At 40.7% G+C, this 18,746-nt stretch overlaps 1 protein-coding gene across 6 annotated transcripts in view, besides 2 other annotated features; it reads left to right on the forward strand.

Annotated features, from left to right (window-relative positions):
* The window catches only part of FRY (FRY microtubule binding protein), a 267,352-nt gene that overhangs the window by 166,667 nt on the left and 81,939 nt on the right, over positions 1-18,746 (forward strand). For all 6 annotated transcript variants that reach the window (XM_047429999.1, NM_001411012.1, XM_047430000.1 and 3 more), the window contains 6 exons: positions 3,501-3,600; positions 3,916-4,087; positions 10,413-10,669; positions 11,145-11,291; positions 12,426-12,594; positions 13,852-13,942. In XM_047429999.1, coding sequence (XP_047285955.1) covers positions 3,501-3,600; positions 3,916-4,087; positions 10,413-10,669; positions 11,145-11,291; positions 12,426-12,594; positions 13,852-13,942 — 936 coding nt within the window. The remainder of the gene's footprint in view (positions 1-3,500; positions 3,601-3,915; positions 4,088-10,412; positions 10,670-11,144; positions 11,292-12,425; positions 12,595-13,851; positions 13,943-18,746) is intronic.
* Positions 7,292-7,586: a silencer, noted in NCBI's record as "tiled region #7321; K562 Repressive non-DNase unmatched - State 22:ReprW". NCBI's record gives its function as "represses a minimal TATA promoter and a strong SV40 promoter by Sharpr-MPRA in K562 cells {active_cell/tissue: K562}" and the evidence as "EXISTENCE:reporter gene assay evidence [ECO:0000049][PMID:27701403]".
* Positions 11,700-12,899: an enhancer, noted in NCBI's record as "BRD4-independent group 4 enhancer chr13:32784277-32785476 (GRCh37/hg19 assembly coordinates)". NCBI's record gives its function as "activates an origin of replication core promoter dependent on BRD2, P300/CBP, MED14 and CDK7 cofactors, and independent of BRD4, by STARR-seq in HCT116 cells {active_cell/tissue: HCT116}" and the evidence as "EXISTENCE:reporter gene assay evidence [ECO:0000049][PMID:35650434]".

The following is an 18,746-nucleotide window of genomic DNA, read 5'->3' on the forward strand; positions in this document are numbered from 1 at the left end:
GTAACAATTCCAAACTTCACTGGCTATGAAATGCACTATCGTGGGCTGTCTAGGAGACTGAGAGCATTGTAGGTAAGAGCTTGAATTCTTTGAAGTCAGACTTATCTAGAAGTCTGGGCTCCACCACTTCTACATGACCTGAAGCAAGTACTTTTCTCTAGGCTTTGCATGCTTGTTGTGAAGATTAAATAACAAATCTAAGTAAAGGTCTTGGCACAGTACCTGGCACAAAGTAAGCACATAATAACATCAGTGTCACCCATCATTCAACATCATTCTTGCACTCATCATCATCACCACCATCATCTGGCGGTAGTTCCCCAGTTTTTCATCAGACCCACCAAACTTAGACTGTGTTTATTTAAAAATACAAGTTACAGAAAAATAAACATTTTGGAGTAAAAATTAATAAACCTATTTTGGATGGCAATATATCAGTATGTACCAAAATTTTAAGTGTGCCCTTTGACCCTGCATGACCTCTCTATGAATTTTTTCTAAAGAAAGGCCAGCACATTTGGTGTTTGTGGCACTATAATAATGAAAAAGTGAAAACAGTCTAAATATCTATCAATGCGTGTCAAAAGTTGGATTTCCCAGGAAATAGACTGAGATGGATATTTGAACGCAGGACATTTATTAGGGTGGGCCCTTGGGGTCAACATCTATGGAGAAATGAAGGAATTAGGACTGGGAAGAGAAAAGAAACCTCAGTCATTCCCACTGGGGCTGCTGCTGGGGAACAGATATGACCTTGACCTAGGCAAACCTCTGGCTGAAGGCAGTTCCCAGAGAAGGCTTCAGATCAAGGATTCAGCTGGAGGATTGAGTGCCTCCATCCTGAAAGAAGGATCTAGGTGGCACACCACAGTACGCATTACAAGAGTAGTTGTTTATGATATGTTCCTAGAATGGAATATGTGGCAGCTATTAGGAAGACTGAAGTGAGCCTTATAGTTCAGTGAAAAAGCAGATCATCAAGCAGTACAGACAGGTGGTGTAATCACATTTATGTTTAAAACCCTGTGCATTGAAGGAGTATTTTGATGCAAATGTCTGTATATAGACTTGGAAGACAGCTGAAATATCAAAATGTTGACAGTAATTGCCTCTTGGATAAGATTAACAATTGGGAGAATGAAAGGACATGAGATACTTCTACATTTTATTCTATTCACCTACCTGCAAGCAACACCAACTTGCAGCCCTGTGAGTGAACCATCTTCAGGGCGGACCCTGTAGCCCTATGTGTTGCTTGAATCTTTTAGAAGAAAAATATATTCATGTCATAAAAATTAATATTTGAGTAATGTTAAAAGTAGAAAAACTTTTTCATGTGTATAATTTCTCACTGAACTTAATGTAAAATGGGATGTATTCATAGTAGGACATGCCTTTCTAGAAAGGTGATTGTCTCATTCTGTTTTCTGTTGCCTATAACAGAATGCCTGGAACTGGATAATTTATAGAGAAAGCAATTTATTCCTTGCAGTTATAGAGACTAAGTCCACAGTCAAGGGGCCTCATCTGGTGAGGGCCTTCTTGCTGATGGGGACTCTCTACAGAGTCCTGAGATGGCTCAGGGCTTCACATGGCAGGAGAGTTGAACATGCTAGCTTCTCTTCCTCCTCTTATAAAGCTACTGGCCCCACTCCTATGATATGTATCAATCCATTAATCCATGAATAGATTAATCCATTCATGAGGGCAGTCTCATGACCCAGTCACTACTTAAAGGCCCCCGTTCTCAATACTGCCACAATGGGGATTAAATTTCAGCATGAGTTCTGGTGGGGCAAACATTCAAACCAAAGCAGTGATTGTTCTAAAACAGAACTTCTTAGATAATGTAATTATGTAGAATCAAAAAAAAGATTCCCAAGGAAAAACAACTAATATGTTTTTTCACCTTCAAACTATCTTTTTCTTCCTGAAGTTTGTTTGAAAATAAATAGCAGTAACTCACCTTCTACATATAAACCGTTTAATAGTTCAACTCAACCAGGTGCAGTTGTTCACACCTGTAATCCCAACACTTTGGAAGGCCCAGTTGGGAGGATCACCTGAGCCCAGGAGGTGAAGACAGCAGTGAGCCATGATCATGCCACTGCACTCCAGCCTGGGCAACAGTGAGACCTTGTCTCAAAAATAAAAAAGAGAGAGAAGAAAAAGTTCAACTCACCAGGAGTTTTCTACTTACGACTTCTTTTCCACTATAATCTAAGAAAATACATATGGTGAAAAGATAACATCTTTAAATAGAATTACATAGCAAGAAAAAAATGGATTTAATCTCTCTATTCTATATGGTTATACTGCCAATTGCCACATAATCTATTCTGTGTTCCTCTCCCCCCATCCCACACATGCTGTCAGTTACCAAATCCTGATGATTTTATCTCCTTAGTGTTCCTCAGATCTCTCCCTTCCTTCTGTCTCTACTGTTTCTGCCCTAATTCCAGCCCTCATCAGTTCCCATTTGCATTCTTGTAATAGCTTCCACTCTTGGCCCCATACAATCCATTCTCCACACAGCAGCCAGAGTGATTCTTCAAAAGTGAATGCCGTGGCCCCCCTCCCCAGGGCAAATCCTGTAGTGCTTCTCTGAAACTTTAGGGTGAAGTCCATAGGCTGGTCATCTTCTGAACCCACCTACTGGCCTAGCCTCGCTTCCTTCTGTTCCTCTACTTATTTTATTCAGTCTACTACACAAAGATTCTTCCCTTTTACAATAGATATCTTGCTGTTTCATTCTTGTAATCTTTCAAAATGCTGTCCTCTCTATCTGGAACACTCCTGTACTACCCCTTCCGTGACCTGGCTAATGTCACCTGGTGCTTCAAGACCCATTTTACTTGTTTCCTCTTCAGAAAAGACTTCTCTACCCCCCATCTAATGTAGGTGTCCCTCATCAGGATTCTCGTAGCATGCTGTGGATGTTCCAACAACACTCATCAGAACTAGACTGTACAGGTTGTCTCCATGACTAAACTGTAAGCCCTCCTTAAGGACTGGGACCAGCCTTGCTATCTTTGTATCATTGGTACTTTGTATGTTGTTCCTGATAGTTGTTTGGCACTTAATAAATTTAGAAGAATCAAATGAAAATATTGATTTGGTGAGCTATTGAGAAATTTAGTACATGTATCCTTTTCTGTCTTTTTCACTTGTTGGTTTGCATTAAAGTCATTAAAGTCCGTTTGCATCAGATAGACTTTTGTGTTCTTTTATCCTGGTGTCCCAGTATTTATGCATCAGATAGACTTTTGTGTTCTTTTATCCTGGTGTCCCAGTATTTAATTTTAAACCAAAATAAAGTCATTTTCCTTTATCTACTGATAAATAGCAAAAGAAGGAAGCAAAAAATGGCCAGACGGGGGTAAGAATGTCACTAATAAGTGACCGAGGTCAGCATGCCAGCTAGAATTTTAAGAGGTAACAATCTAGCCACTCTGTCTTATAAACCATGCTTTTTTTGTTTTGTTCTGTTGTGTTTTTAGGAACTATCCCTTCGACATAGTGACATTGTTAAACCTTGTTCTATTCAAGGCCTCTGACACCAACAGAGAGATTTATGAAATCTCCATGCAGCTCATGCAGGCACGTATCATTTACTGGCATAGAAAATATCCATCCTTGAGTACAGAAAATAGAAATGGTAGTTGATTACCTAATAGCTGTTTATTGATAGGCCTTTGTTTATTTCTGCATATCATTTGTGGCTATGAAGAGTGAGAAAGTAACTATATAATCTTTTGTAAACATACTAATTAAACTGATGTTTTACCTTTAATTCTATTTTTAAATGGGAATTAATTAATTTTGTTACTTCTAACCTTTGTTAAATACAAATGCTCATGAGATATCCAGCTAATGCTTTTCATACTACTTTTTTACTTTCCTACATCTTTATAGATCCTTGAAGCAAAGCTTTTTGTATACTCAAAGAAAGTCGCTGAGCAAAGACCGGGAAGTATTCTCTATGGAACACACGGCCCGCTGCCACCCCTCTACAGCGTGTCACTTGCCCTCTTGTCATGTGAGCTGGCCAGGATGTACCCTGAGCTCACACTCCCCCTCTTCTCAGGTACCAGGCAATAGTCAATAATGACATATGTGATCATTTCTAATAATGACGTATGTGATCATTTCTAATAATGACATGTGATCATTTCTTTGCTCTAAGTAATTTTTCTTTTTAAATTCTAGTTTAATTTTAGAGTTATGACCAGGCACGATGCCACGCATTCCTGTAATCCCAGCACTTTGGGAGGCCAAGGCAGGCAGATCACTTGAATCAGGAGTTTGAGACCAGCCTGGCCAACATGGTGAAACCCTGTCACTACTAAAAATACAAAAATTAGCCAGGTCTGGTGGTGTGTGCCTGTAATCCCAGCTACTTAGGAGGCTAGGCAGGAGAATCGCTTGAACCCAGGAGGCAGAGTTTGCAGTGAGCCGAGATTGCGCCACCGTACCCCAACCTGGGCAACAGAGTGAGACAGTCTCAAAAAAAAAAAAAAATCTTAGAGTGATAATTAGTGATGCTAAGTTTGTAGGTCAGAATTACTGTGGGCTAGATCCAGTTACATATGAAAGTAAATTCTATAATTGTTAAATGAAAAAAATTTCTTTATCTAAAGCAGTGTAGGCATAAACATACATATGACAAATGCAAGGTGCTTAGATTAATAATACTAACTTCTGCATACATTATATATATAAATTTCCCAAAGAAACTAATATCCCACAAAAGCTAAATATGAACAGTGTAATTTATAACACATATAATTGCTGCAAGTTGTTTGGTGGTTGTGATAGTGGTGGTGTTTTGTAGCTTGTATTTTGCTACATATGTAAGTTGTTGAAAGTTTGAATTTTTGCATATTCTTTACAATCTTCATAAATAGTTTTTGTGAATTTGGCTTTGCATAGTGGATGGACTGCCACATGGAGGATAAACTGCAGTTAGGTAATGCAGAATTGCTAAAGAATTGCATTTGTCAGGCCGGGCGTGGTGGCTCACACCCGTAATCCCAACACTGGAGACCGAGGAGGGCTAATCACCTGAGGTCAGGAGTTTGAGACCAGCCTGGCTAACATGGTGAAACCCCATCTCTACAAAAAAGACAAAAATTAGCTGGGCATGGTGGCCCACGCCTCTAGTCCCAGCTACTCAGGAGGCTGAGGTAGGAGAATCACTTGAACCCGGGAGGCAGCGATTGCAGTGAGCCGAGATCATGCCATTCCACTCCAGCCTAGGCAACAGAGTGAGACTCTGTCTCAAAAAAAAAATGCATTTGTCACCTAACTTCTTGCCTAAGCTTACGTAGCACTTTGCCAAGAGACAGACTTTGGCCTCTTGAATTCATCCTGTTTTTCCATCTCTATCACCACCTCACCACTGCTTTGTCCAGATCTTCCTCAGTCCTTCCCTGCCTCTGCATTACCTAACTACAGTTTATCTTCCATGTGGCAGTCCATCCACTATGCAAAGCCAAATATGTCCAGCACTTCTTAACTCAAACTTCTCTGCCCAGTTGTCCTAAAAATAGCTGATAACAGCCTACATTTAGTGAGTGGATAGTAGGTACCAGCCTCCATGCTAGGTACTTTATGTGCATTGCATTTATCACTTAATATTTATAAACCCTGGTATAGTACAGTGGTTAGAACAGAGGCTTTGGAGTCAGGCAACCTTTCACTAGTTGTTTGACTGTGGGCAAGTCACAGAACCTCTAAATTACATTCCTTATCTGTAATAGTAATGACTACCCCATAGGATGTGAAGATTAAAGTGATCTAATGAAAACCAAGCAGCTGGCCCAGTCCTGGCATGGAATTATCACAACTACCACCACCACCATCATCATTGTTTTACAGATGAGATGAGAAACTAAGGTTTAGAGATGTTAAATAATTTGCTCGAGACCATATAGCTAGGAAGCAACCAAGTCAGAATTAAATCTAGATCTGTCTTCCTCCAAAGCCATTGCTATAAAATTAGAACTCAGCCAAGGGGCAGGGGAAAAAAAGCTCCTTTTCTAAACTTGCTTTCTACCTTTTCATTCAAGAATCCTCTACTCCAGTCCTACTGAATCTTTGACCAACATTCCAGGTCCTCTTGTAAATCTTTGCTTCTGTACATGCTGTTGAATGGCCCTCACCCCTTCTTCCTAACTTCAACTTTCCAGAAGATCTAACTTAACATCCACCTCAACTGTGCAGACCTCTCCATATACCTGAGGCAGAGTTAGTCACTTCTTTGTGTAATACCAGAAACAGTGGAGAGACCCAATAAAAGCCTTTTTAGTAAATTAATTCTCTTCTTGCAAAACTAAAATTTATTTTTATGCACTTCACCCAAGATTTGTTTGCTGCCTACATGCTAGGCACTGTGCTTGGGTTTCAGAAATACAGAGGGAAATAAAAGTCTCTCCCATCAAACGTTCATAGTCTAGCAGAAAAGATAGATATGCAATCAAGCCAAGCACAGTGGCTTATGCCTGTATCCCAGCACCCTGGGAGGCTGAGGCAGGTGGACCACTTGAGGCCAGGAGTTCGAGACCAGCCTGGCCAACATGGCGAAACCCTGTCTCTACTAAAAATACAAAAATTAGCTGGGCATGGTGGCACATGCCTGTAGTCCCAGCTACTCAGGAGGCTGAGGCACAAAAATTACTTGAACCCAAGAAGCAGAGGTTGCAGTTAGCCGAGATTGTGCTACTGCACTCCAGCCTGAGCGACAGAGCGAGACTCTGTCTCAAAAAAAAAAAAAAAAAAAAAGGTGTGCGATCAAATGATTTTGATACAGTATAGCAAATGCAATTTTTTAAAAAAGAAAAATGCTCAATGTATTAGACAGTAGCTGAAGGACTAATCAATTATTGGGCCAGGAATATCAGAAAAGAATTCCCAGAGAGAAGTTGATGTCTAAGCTGTAGTTTGAAAGGAGTAGAAATTTGCATAGCAGACAAGTAGTTGATAGACATTACAGAGCAAGAGACCATTGCATATGCATCAGCTTAGAGTTATAAACTAGCATGATGTAATTGGGGGATTATATAGAGGTCAGTTTAGGTAACATAACGTGCAGGAACAGGAAAAGCTAGAGATGGTCGTGGGCAGATGCAGAGGCCAAAATCATTATCTTGGAAGGCCTTGTGTACACTACAAGGTTTGTAGGCCAGCAATCTTCCATATGTGCTTTTTGAATCCCCCTTCAGAGCTCTGTAAACAGAGAGAGCATCCAAGCAAGCTGCTGGGGTTTTGAAAGCCACTGATGAGTTGCAAACGAGAAGAGGGAGTATCAAGATTAGAATGCATTTTTAAAAGCCTGGTTGCAGTGTGGAGGGTGGATTAGTGAACATCCAGTCTGGAGAGAGGAGGATAGTTAAGAAACAATGGCAATAGTCCAAGGAGGAAATAATAAATGATAAGGGCCTGAACAAAGACAGCCCAATGAGACTGGAGGGGAGAAACCAGAGCGAAAAGCTGCCAAGCAGAGGCACAGAAGAGAATGCCTACTGTGATATCAGGGAGGTCAGTGATGATAACCCTCCTAGAAACCCAATACAGGGAGAGGGGAAGGTTTGGTGCAAGGCAGAGATCAGGAGCCCAGCCCAGGATGTTGAGTGTATGCCTCTGCTGGACTTCCTCCTGTATGGATGAGCCTGAACTGAGGGAGGTCAGTGCTAGCAACTCACAGAAGGATGGAAGGGATTAGAGCCACGGGCATGGATGAGATCAGGAATGGAGAGAGCACAGAGTGGAAGAAAGGGCCTGGACACCCCCACTTTTGCAGACTGGTCCGAGGAAGAGCAGAAGGGTGAGAAGGAATGGAGGGAGAACACTCAGGAGAAGGGTTTCATGGAAACATAAAGGAAAAAGAGATTTAGAAGGAGAGAGTGAGCAGTGCACAGCCTCCGATGCAGTAGAGAGATCCCAGAAGAGAAGACCTGAACATGACTCTCTTGAGTTTCGAGATTCATTGGTAACTGTCAGTAGTTTCTGCAGGGAGGTAGTGGCAGAAGCCAGATCACAGTGGCCTGGCTGAGAAAGAATGTAGAAAGAGAGGCTGGCCCTCCAGTGGGGTGCAGAGTCAGAGGAGGAGTTTTAAGGATGAGCGATATTGGAGCATGTTTATTAGCTGAGAGGGAGATGCTAGTAAAGTGGGAGTGGTTCACAGTTCAGGAGAGAAGAGAGAAACAGTCCAGCAAGTTTAACCAGATCAGAGGCTCCTATGAGTTGCAAGCAGGTTCAACCTACATTTCCTTGAAGAATTACCTTTTGGCTGTTTTAGCTTAGGGGAAATTACTTTTTAAAAATAACACAGAAAAATTAGGAGGTTATAATAGATTCCAAACACTTGTTTTTAATATAAACCCTGTGGTGAAATTTTTATTGCCTGTAATTTCAAGTGACCTAATTATTGTAAACGGCCAGACAAATTGTTCAGGTCCACTGAACAAGAGCATCCCACTGATGTGGTCTCACATTTTATTTAAAATATTTCTGGAGCAGTGAATAGAGGGCTATTTGCATGTCTATGGCATTTTTCTTTTCTTGTTCCCTTTTAAAAAGGGAACTACCCTTGACTGTCCAGGAGCTACCTGGGTGCTTGGGATACCTCAGGCATACATCCCTACCCTCTTGGTGCTATTATCTGTCAGACAAAATGCAATTAACATAATAAACAAGCAAATTATGTAATGCATAAGTCTTTGCTCCGAAAAGTCCATAGATTTTTATACCATTGTCAAAAGATAGGTCTTTTGAATAACTGCTCTCTCTTTTATTTGTTTTTGGGATTTTTTCCCCCATCTTAAAGTCCAGATCCTTCTAGTGGAGTTTAAATAGTTCTCCCACCATAAAACTATTCTGAGTCTTTGCACCCAGAAGTCATTTTCCACCACCGAACCCCCAAAGCACTCTGTTTGTGCCTTTCTGATTTCATTTGTCACTGTTTCCCTTGCCCCAGAGTGATTTGTCAACATAATTTGTCTGAGTCTCTTTCTTAGGGGCAGGAACTGCATCATTTGTCAGTCTTTGCTGTCTTTGTCATGTCTAGCACAGTGGCTTGCACCTAGAAAATGCCCCGTACCTTGGGACAAATGAATGTTCTGACTTTATAAGGATTTGAGTATGTGACATAACAGTCACATACATCAGTCACATCCATAAATGTAGAAATCAAGTAAATTTTGAAATTTTGACCTATATGAAACATAATAGCTTAGCACTGTCTGATTATTGTGATATAACATTATGGTCTCCAAAATAAAAAATTATAATTTTAATTTTAGGAAAAGGGCCAAATTGATTAAAGCTGCTGTTTCAGAAGATCCCGTGGATTATCTTGGTATAATTCCTGGCATCTGTGTTCTATTATTTAGCAGCCATGAGCCCTCTAAGCGAGATTGCATTGCCACACTGGATCATAACACCTGTATGAGACCAAGCTTTCTAATTTCCCTGAGGATAAAATACCTTCTTCTCTAGATATGAGAGATAGGAGATTACATCGGAGCCTACTGCATATACATAATGCTGTGCTTCTCTATCTTAGAAAGTTTATTTGGATTATAAAATTAAATGCTGCTGGCAGTGAAACAATGCCAAAATGCTCTGAGAGAAAGTAATGGTGAAATAACTGGACCAGACCTAGGGCTTCACTGTTTGGACTCACGTGTCTCACAGGGGACACACAGCCCTTGGCAGGCACCTTCCACATGCTTAGCAGTTTTCAAGACGACTCTGCAAAGTGGGTTTATTCTTCCTAGAGATCCGCATGTCACTTTTTAACAGCCAATGTTTCATGGAAGACACTTTGTAAGACACTGGGTCAGTGGAAAGGTAATCATTGGTGTTAGCCTGATCCTAACCACAATTTATAAAAGCCTGATGGATGATAGGCACTGTGCTGAGCACATTGCATTCATTATGATTATATCTTTTAGTCATTACAGTAGCCTGATGTGGGGCCCTATCAGTCCCATTTTACCGACAAGGGAACTGAGGAGCAGAGATGTTAAGTAACTAGCCCAGAGTCACATGCCACTAGTATGTGGTGGATCTGGAATCTGAACACATGCCCTTCTAACTCCAAGTCCCTTATTTTGTCCACCCTCTGATATACATCTTCCGCTAGCAGTGGATTTGAACTCACTCCACTTTTACCAAGCCTGTGCTTGCCCCACAGTGCTATACACTTTCCTGCACAGCGCACCAGATGTGGAGCAACAAGCTTGCAGACAAGCCTTGGTTTTATCATTCTGTGGCCTTGGGGAGCTCCTGTATGTGAAAATGTTTTGTAAACGTAGGACACTGTTCAGTCTGCAAGTTGGCATTTGAATTTCCATTTATTTTGGTGGAATAAGGTATGGATGACTCTCTGTCACTGCAATTCTCTTTAGAGGTAAGCCAGCGATTCCCCACAACACACCCCAACGGGCGCCAGATCATGCTTACCTACCTGCTGCCCTGGCTGCACAACATCGAGCTGGTGGACAGCAGGCTCCTCCTCCCGGGGTCGAGCCCCAGCAGCCCAGAGGACGAAGTCAAGGACCGGGAAGGTGACGTGACTGCTTCTCACGGGCTGAGAGGAAATGGCTGGGGCTCTCCAGAAGCCACGTCACTGGTCCTGAACAACCTCATGTACATGACGGCCAAGGTAAACTCAGAGGAATTGTGCTTCAAATAGCATGGCTCCATCATCAGAAAAAAACCCTGGGTTAGTCAAACCCCGGGGAAAATGGGATTCCTTTAAAAATCACATGACTGGGGATAAATAGTGGTGATGGTTGCACAGAAATATGAATGGACTTAATGCCACAGGCTGTACACTTACAAATAGTGGTGATGGTAAACTTTATGTTATGCGTATTTTACAGCAATTTTAAGAATGATAATAAAAATAAAAATAAGCCTAATATTTAAAAAACTCACATGAATAGGTATTATGCATGATTGATTTGTGCATTATTAACTACTGTTTACTGAAAGATGGCATCTTTCTGATAAATGGTCATGTTTACCCCTTCTTATGATTTTGAGACGGTCATGACCCTCAAAACTACTTTCAGTCAAACCTTTTGCGTCCTTACAGTTTTCACACATCTCTTGGGCCGGTTTTTATTTTGTTATAGTATGGAGATGAAGTTCCTGGGCCAGAAATGGAAAATGCTTGGAATGCTTTAGCCAACAATGAGAAATGGAGCAACAACCTGAGGATCACCTTGCAGTTCCTGATTAGCCTCTGTGGGGTCAGCAGCGACACAGTTCTCCTACCCTATGTAAGTGTCTCTCAGCCCTTCAAGAGTGATTATTCCTGCAGGGACTCCCATGTGCAATTTGCAAGTCAGAATGTGCTCTTTGCTCCAGCTAAAATAGAAATGTCCAGTTAGTCACATGAATCTCCTGTGAGCTCATCCAGATATTACATAAAAGTTCCCTTCTGCCCCCTAGACACAGGCTATGTGTGCTAGTGATGCCTCTGTCATCTCCTTACTCTGAGCCTTGGGACGCAGAAACCTATTGATATAGCAGGTGGATATTTTTCTAGCAGTTACTGAAAGCTGCCTTCTATAAACATTGGACCTACTATGTAAGAGACACTAAGTAAAGTGTTGTATTATTACTAATAAGAATGTTTCATGTTTACATCTTGATGCTCTTGAAACAGAATAAGAAAGCAGAGTATGCAGGTTTTTCTCTTCAAATTCAAGTGGTAGAAGAGAGAAGTAAGCATGGAGAAATCCTTCTGAAATGTCTGATATTTACAGTTGGTATTTAAAAGTGATAGGATCAACAGAATGACAGCATTTTTAAAACCCAAACTCAATTGGCATTTCTGTGCTGGTTGTTTTTGTGACAGGTTTATGTCTTCCTGCTGCCTTGAGTCCACATAAGCCTCACTGCAGCTTGCAGGGCTCAGGTTGGACTATGAGGCCTGCAATAATGTGGAGCTTTAATCCAGAGTTATTTTTAAAATTTAAAACCATAAAAACAGCTAAAACTCATTTGTTTCTTGGGGAGAAGAGAATAGCAGGGGACTGGATTCCTTTTTAAACAAAAATAACTAGCAGTTTTTCCCCAGGGTTTGTATAAATAAAATTATTTCTGAAGATGAGAACTTTGATGGCAAGTTTTCAGTTTAGATAGAATTCACGTACCTCAAAAGTAACTTTTAAAAACTTAGCCATTAGAAAAGGTAAGGGCTTTAAGAACACACTGTTATCAGACGTGCCGATGAAGAGAGGTGAATTTTAATCCAAGTCCTTGGTCCATCCTAGGATAGCACAAAGATTAGCTATCACGGTGACAGCTCCTGCATGATGACAACTTATCTAAATGAGAGGTTTACTGGCCTAGTGTTCCTGTGGACTAGGCTCTGTGAAACATCCCTTGTTTTCTTTTTTCCTTCTCAGATTAAAAAAGTGGCAATATACTTGTGCCGTAACAACACCATTCAAACCATGGAAGAGCTTCTCTTTGAGCTGCAGCAGACAGAGCCCGTGAACCCCATCGTCCAGCATTGTGACAACCCGCCCTTCTACCGCTTCACGGCCAGTAGCAAGGCTTCCGCAGCAGCCTCAGGTAAGAAGAGCAACCGGGCAGACACCTGGTCACAGATCCCTGGGGTTTCCTTCATGTAGATTCCTGAAAGGATATGAGAATGTGTTTGTTACTTTTTTCTTATTCCTGTGTGTGCATTCAGTTAAGAGATGGCTTAAGAATAACTGAGACATGGGCTGGGCGTGGTGACTCACGCCTGTAATCCCAGCACTTTGGGAGGCTGAGGCTGAAGTCAGGAGTTCAAGACCAGCCTGGCCAACGTGACAAAACCCCGTCTCTACTAAAAATACAAAAACTTAGCCGGATGTGGTGGCACGCGCCAGTACTCCCAGCTCCTCAGGAGGCTGCAGGAGGAGAATCACTTGAACCCACGAGGCAGAGGTGGCAGTGAGCCAAGATTGCACCACTATACTCCAGCTTGGGCGACAGAGCAAGACTGTATCTCAAAAAAAAGAGAATAACTGAGTTTCTTAGGGATCATAGGGTTAATGAAATGATCTTGTAAAGATGACTGAGAATCTGTGGCTCAAGCATCCTCCATCACAGAACTTTGTATTTCAGCCGATCCCAGCCAGGACATTGCAGTCACTCAGGAATCTCATTTCTGGATCCCCCTTCTTGTATCTGGACCCTCCCTTGGCTATATTCCTTCAGCGTTGATTAAAATTCCCCCCAAAAGTATTATCACTTTTGGTTAATTGGTGTCTCAGCAACCTTTCATGAAATATATGCCATCCTCCTCAAATTCCTTGAAGTCTGCCTCCCTTCTGCTGACCTCATGCAGTAACTGCCTTCCAATTCCTCTCCTCCCTGAGTCTACTGTCTCCTCTGTTCGCCCTACACCCTGCCACCAGAGCAGTGTTCTTACAGGGAAGCAGTAGCACAGCAATCAGAAGTGCTAGGTGCTTGGCCTTACTTCACTAGCATTAGTTTAGTAACTCCTGGACCCAGAAATACTAAAGCAGCCAACAGCAGGGCCAGCCACTATAAATAAGCTCATTGCCTAAGTGGCCAGGAAGAAGAGGTTTCAAGAATGTAGGCTTGCTTTACGAGAGTTAAGGAATTTGGTTTGACCATAACAGATGTCTACGATTCTCTCATTTCAGTGGTGTGGGCTTGGAAGATTGTTTAGAATGTCTGAGATTGTGCAGAAGATGTAAAAAATCTTCCAAACATAAGAATTTACAGGAAATCTTTCCCTGGAATTACTTGAGACTTGAGCTTGACCCCTCAGCTTGCATCTTTTTATAAGTGTTTTTCTTCCATTCCCATCTACAGGAACCACCTCTAGCAGCAATACAGTGGTTGCTGGCCAGGAAAATTTCCCAGATGCTGAGGAGAACAAGATATTGAAAGAATCTGATGAAAGGTTGGTACACAAATTTGACTTAATATCCAGTGTAATGTTCTGCAATAATCTATACATAGACATCAATACAGGTTTGTGGAGTTTCATAAATTTTACACGTACATAAAAATCCTTCTTTGTTTTTAGAAACTCAGACTTACTTTCCAACTCTACTCAGTATATCCCTAAAGATAACAGTTATTTCTGTGCAAAGTCAGAGAAGAGAAAGATTAAGAAGGGTGTTGTTCTGGTGGTGGTGGAATTTCGCATACCTCAGGGCTTAGTAAAAACCATGAGTTGTTCTGCTAATGGACACAGACCATCTGGAATTAGAATTGCCATGTGAAATTTTCGAATCTGATAGTTGAATAATTTCTTAGGGATAGAGTAGTCATCTTGAGATGAGTTCTATGAAACATGATTATTATTATTTTACTTTTGCTTTGTGCTGTCTTGGTTAACCAAAACACTATCTTTTCCTGCTAAAAAAGTCTCCGTTCCCTCCACATTAGCTCTTTAATAATAATATTTCCCCTATATCTCAGCCTTCTTATTGCCTTGCCTATGAACTACTCATCAGTAGTCAAATCAGAGTCACTCTTTCCTGCAGTTGATTGTGAAGAGCAGGGAGACAAACCAGGAGAGAAAAACAAAACTCAATTTAAAAAAAATGAAAATTAGGATGATCCTCACGGTGCTTCAGCTGAGCATTTTATAGTGAAAGGTAATGAGGGAGCCCTTTTACTTAAGAAATTAGTAAAAAGGATGAGATGCTCATGAATTCATATTAAAGGTAATTTAGGGGATCCAGTGGTGAAAATAACTCACTTAGCCCAAAATGCCCCAGTAAGCCCACAGTGCTTCCTGAGCATCCTGAGGATTTCATCATGTGTATTGGGGCACAGTAGGGGCTGGCGTGGAGATGACCTGGCACAGGGCTGCCTGCCCTTGGGGCTCTGAAGGCTCCTTCCCTAATTCAGGCACCAGCCAGATTCCTCACTGCATCACTGGGCAGCTGTGTTACCTTCAGGCAGATGCTCATCCATACGGGCTTCCCTTCAGACTAAAAGCCCAAACCCAGCAGATCACGAATTATAGACCTTGTCCTTTGAAGTTCTCTAATAAAGCCTTTTATTTCTTTCTCAGGAATGAATAAAGGTTTTTATATTCCACATATTAGTGAAGGTACAAGATTATTAATTAGCATGTTACTTTTTAAAATCTATATTTGCTATTAATATTACCTTCTTTGGAAAACTACCTCATGATAAAAGTCACAGTATTTCTCTAAAGATATTTTTACTTTCTCACTAGACTATAACATTCTTGATCATTTATTGTTTTGTCTGAGTTTCCTGTCTGAATTTTATTTGAGGTAGAAAGATGATAGATCTCCATGTATTACCATCTCATTACAAAGGCCTGTTTAGGGCCAGAGTTCTGAGTGTCCTGCCTAGAGGTTTTAGTGGTGCCTTTGAACTTAAGAAGCCAGTAATCTCTCTAATATCAAGATCACAGAACATCTTCAAGAGAGATTTTCTTGTTTAGCTCTTACTCCTGCTCTGTCACCATATCTCTGCTGGTCATTGGAAAGCCTGATGCAATTATCTACCCATATATATCACACATATTCATACATGTCAGATTCTTTTATACTGATATTTATCTACCTATAACATTGATTGATCATATTCACATATATGTGCAAACATATGTCTATGAATATGCTCTCCCAATGGACACCACTATTCCGTTGATCCCATATAGCACCTACACTATTTGTCTACTGTATTCTTTTTTTTCTATGAAAGTAGGCTGTGCCCTCAGCCTAAAATCCTTTTTTCTCCTCAGTCTACTTATCACCCTTCCTTCCTTGTAATCCCTGTCATGTTGATATATGGGTGCTTACAGACACACTTAACCACCAGATTTTAATTCCTAGAGAACACAGAGAGACTGCGTATCTCTTACACCAAGCTTGTCCAACCTGCGGCCCACAGGCCACATGCGGCCCAGGACAGCTTTGAATGTGGCCCAACACAAATTCATAAATTTTCTTAAAAGATTATGAGATTTTGAGTGTGTGTGATTTTATTTATTTTTTTTAGCTCATCAGCTATTGTGTTAGTGTAGACAGTTCTTCTTCCAGTGTGGCCCAGGGAAGCCAAAAGATTGGACACCCGCGTCTTACACATATTTCTATCCTCAGTGATTAGTCTACTGTGCTGTGCATAGTAGGCATTTTAAAGTGTTTATTTGGTAAGTGAATGGAAATAGGAGAAATGTCATATCCCCAGAGGTGGATAAGCTGTCCAACCACCACCAGTCCGCTTTCCCTTACCCTTTCAGTAACCCATCTTGGAGGACAGCAATTTACTCCTTTCTTTACAGTCCTTATAGGCAAAGAGCCTACAGAGACAGTGTTGTTCAGAAACACCACCCCAGGCTGCTGTGTTAACACACCTCAGGAGTGAGGCATCTCTTCCACCATATCCATTGTGAGGGAAGCACCATATCCATGGGCTGAGGGAAGCACCATGGAGTTGGACAAAATGACCGCCTTGGCACCATGTTCTTTACAACTAGATTAATGGTTCTTTGATGTGACTCAGTAATATTTAATAATGCCGTTCCTACTGACAAAAGCACAAACAAACCTTATAGCTTAAGTGAAAGAACATTAAAACAAGAGTAAAAGAATATGTGCCAAGCTAATGGGAGGGTAAGACAGTTGGTGTCTTAATTCCTGACTAAGGAAAACTACAACTTAACATTAACCTAACCTTGAGGCCCCAGTAGCCAAAGTAAGAAAAGAAAAATAAAGCAAATTTTATAACATTCAATTTTTTTAAAAAAAAGCTATTCAAGTTAACAGTAATCTATGAAACATTTCAAAATAGCTAGAAGAAAATAATTTGAATGTTCCTAGCATAAAGAAAAAATAAATATTTAAGATGATGGATATCCCAATTACCCTGATTTGATATTTACACATTAAATGCCTGTATCAAATGATCACATCTACCCTGAAAAATGTACATCTATTGTGTATTAATAAAAATTTTTAAAAACTATCAGAAAATGTAACAGAAAGTACACCTAAGTCTAAGATTTTTCATATAGTTTATTTTACTAGGCATCAAAATCAACATATATTTATTAAAAGAGTAGTTTATAGCAATTTTTAAAGTATGCAGAAAAAATCTTCATAAGTTTTTGTTTTTGTTTTTCAGACAGGGTCTCATTCTGTCACCTAGGCTGAAGTGCACAAAATCACAGCTTACTGCGGGCTCAGCCTCCCAGGCTCAAGCAGTCCTCCTGCCTCAGCCTCCCAGGTGACTAGGAATACAGACATGTGTCACCACACCTAGCTCATTTTTTTATTTCTTGTAGAGACGGAGTTTCACTATGTTGCCCAGGCTGGTCTCAAACTCCTGGGCTCAACTGATCCTCCCACCTCAGCCTCCCAAAGTGCTGGGATTACAGGTATGAGTGACTGCATCCAGCCATAAGTATTTTCAATATATCAATCTTAATAAAAGATTTTTATAAATTTATATGCCCACAAAGGGATTTTTCATAGAAAGCTAAAGTAGTAAACCTCACCTGTATAAATTTTGAACGGTCTATGTTGAAACAGAGATAATTTCTATCTAAATTGATAGTGTTGATATACACAAATATATATTAACTATCAGTTATCTAAGTATTATTAATTTGAGCTAAATCAACAAGGTAAAACTGAGGGGAACATTTCATCCTTCTAATTTTTCTCTTATCAGAGCTATTTTCATGAGGTATTTCTTAAGGTATGTACCTTTGATGTTAAAAGACATCAAAGATTCTACTTAATCCTTGAAATTCTTTGAGGGACCAGACCCAAAATAAGCTTCTTCAACCCAGAAAAGCAAAGGAAAATAACAGATTTTACAGTTGGGAGTCAGTTTTTTACTTTTTCCTTGCCAGACATACACTTTGCTACACTGTGGCTTCAGTCTTCTCCAGAACAAGGAGAACAGTCTGGAAGGGACTTGCTCCTCCCCTTTATTCCAGCCTCATAAACTCCACCCAGCACCCCTTTAAATCCAACTCAAAAGGGAAAAGAGATGAGTTGTCATCCATCCTGTAGTTCTTCCGGGTGCAGGCCCTCCAGGGCACAATTTAAAACCCGACATAGAGCACAGTTCATGGTAGCTGGAAGTGCTGTGGCGCTCTCCACCCGACGGAAACCTGCAGATGTGCCATTTTTTCATCACCCTGCTTTTGTTCCTTTCTGAATGATGTCTGGGCCTAGCAGATGCTGTTTATCACTTTGCATTTATCAGCATAAATATGATTAAAGAACTTCTTCAGAAGGTAATAAGTTTGTCCTTTTTCCAGTTTATTTTCATAAATACCAGTCTGATTTAGTTGGCCGATTTGTATGAAACTAAGCCAATGTCTTAGATATTCTGTTCTTATAGATTCACAAATGCCCAAAAGATATAACAGTGAAGAAGGTTTGAGGTATGAAGTTACTGGGGAAAAGATAGCTGTCAGGATGGGGGAAATGTTGTTGCAAATATCTAAAAAGTGAATGAAACCAAGCTCATTACAGTACATTTCTGTAATTCAGCAAATCCAAATCACTGATGCAGTGCCCTAAGGTTGTACACCTGGGACAAGATGGGCATCTTAATGGTACATCCAGGAGTTTTTGCTGAAACGTTACTCTTTCTCCACACATTAGTAAGGACAGCAATAGCCCTGCACCTTCCAGTGTCCCCAAAAGAAATAGAGTATTGATCTGTTATGAGTTAAGTCAGAATACCCGGTGAGTAATGTA

This window comes from Homo sapiens, chromosome 13, assembly GCF_000001405.40.
Source record: "Homo sapiens chromosome 13, GRCh38.p14 Primary Assembly".
Classification (NCBI taxonomy): domain Eukaryota; kingdom Metazoa; phylum Chordata; class Mammalia; order Primates; family Hominidae; genus Homo; species Homo sapiens.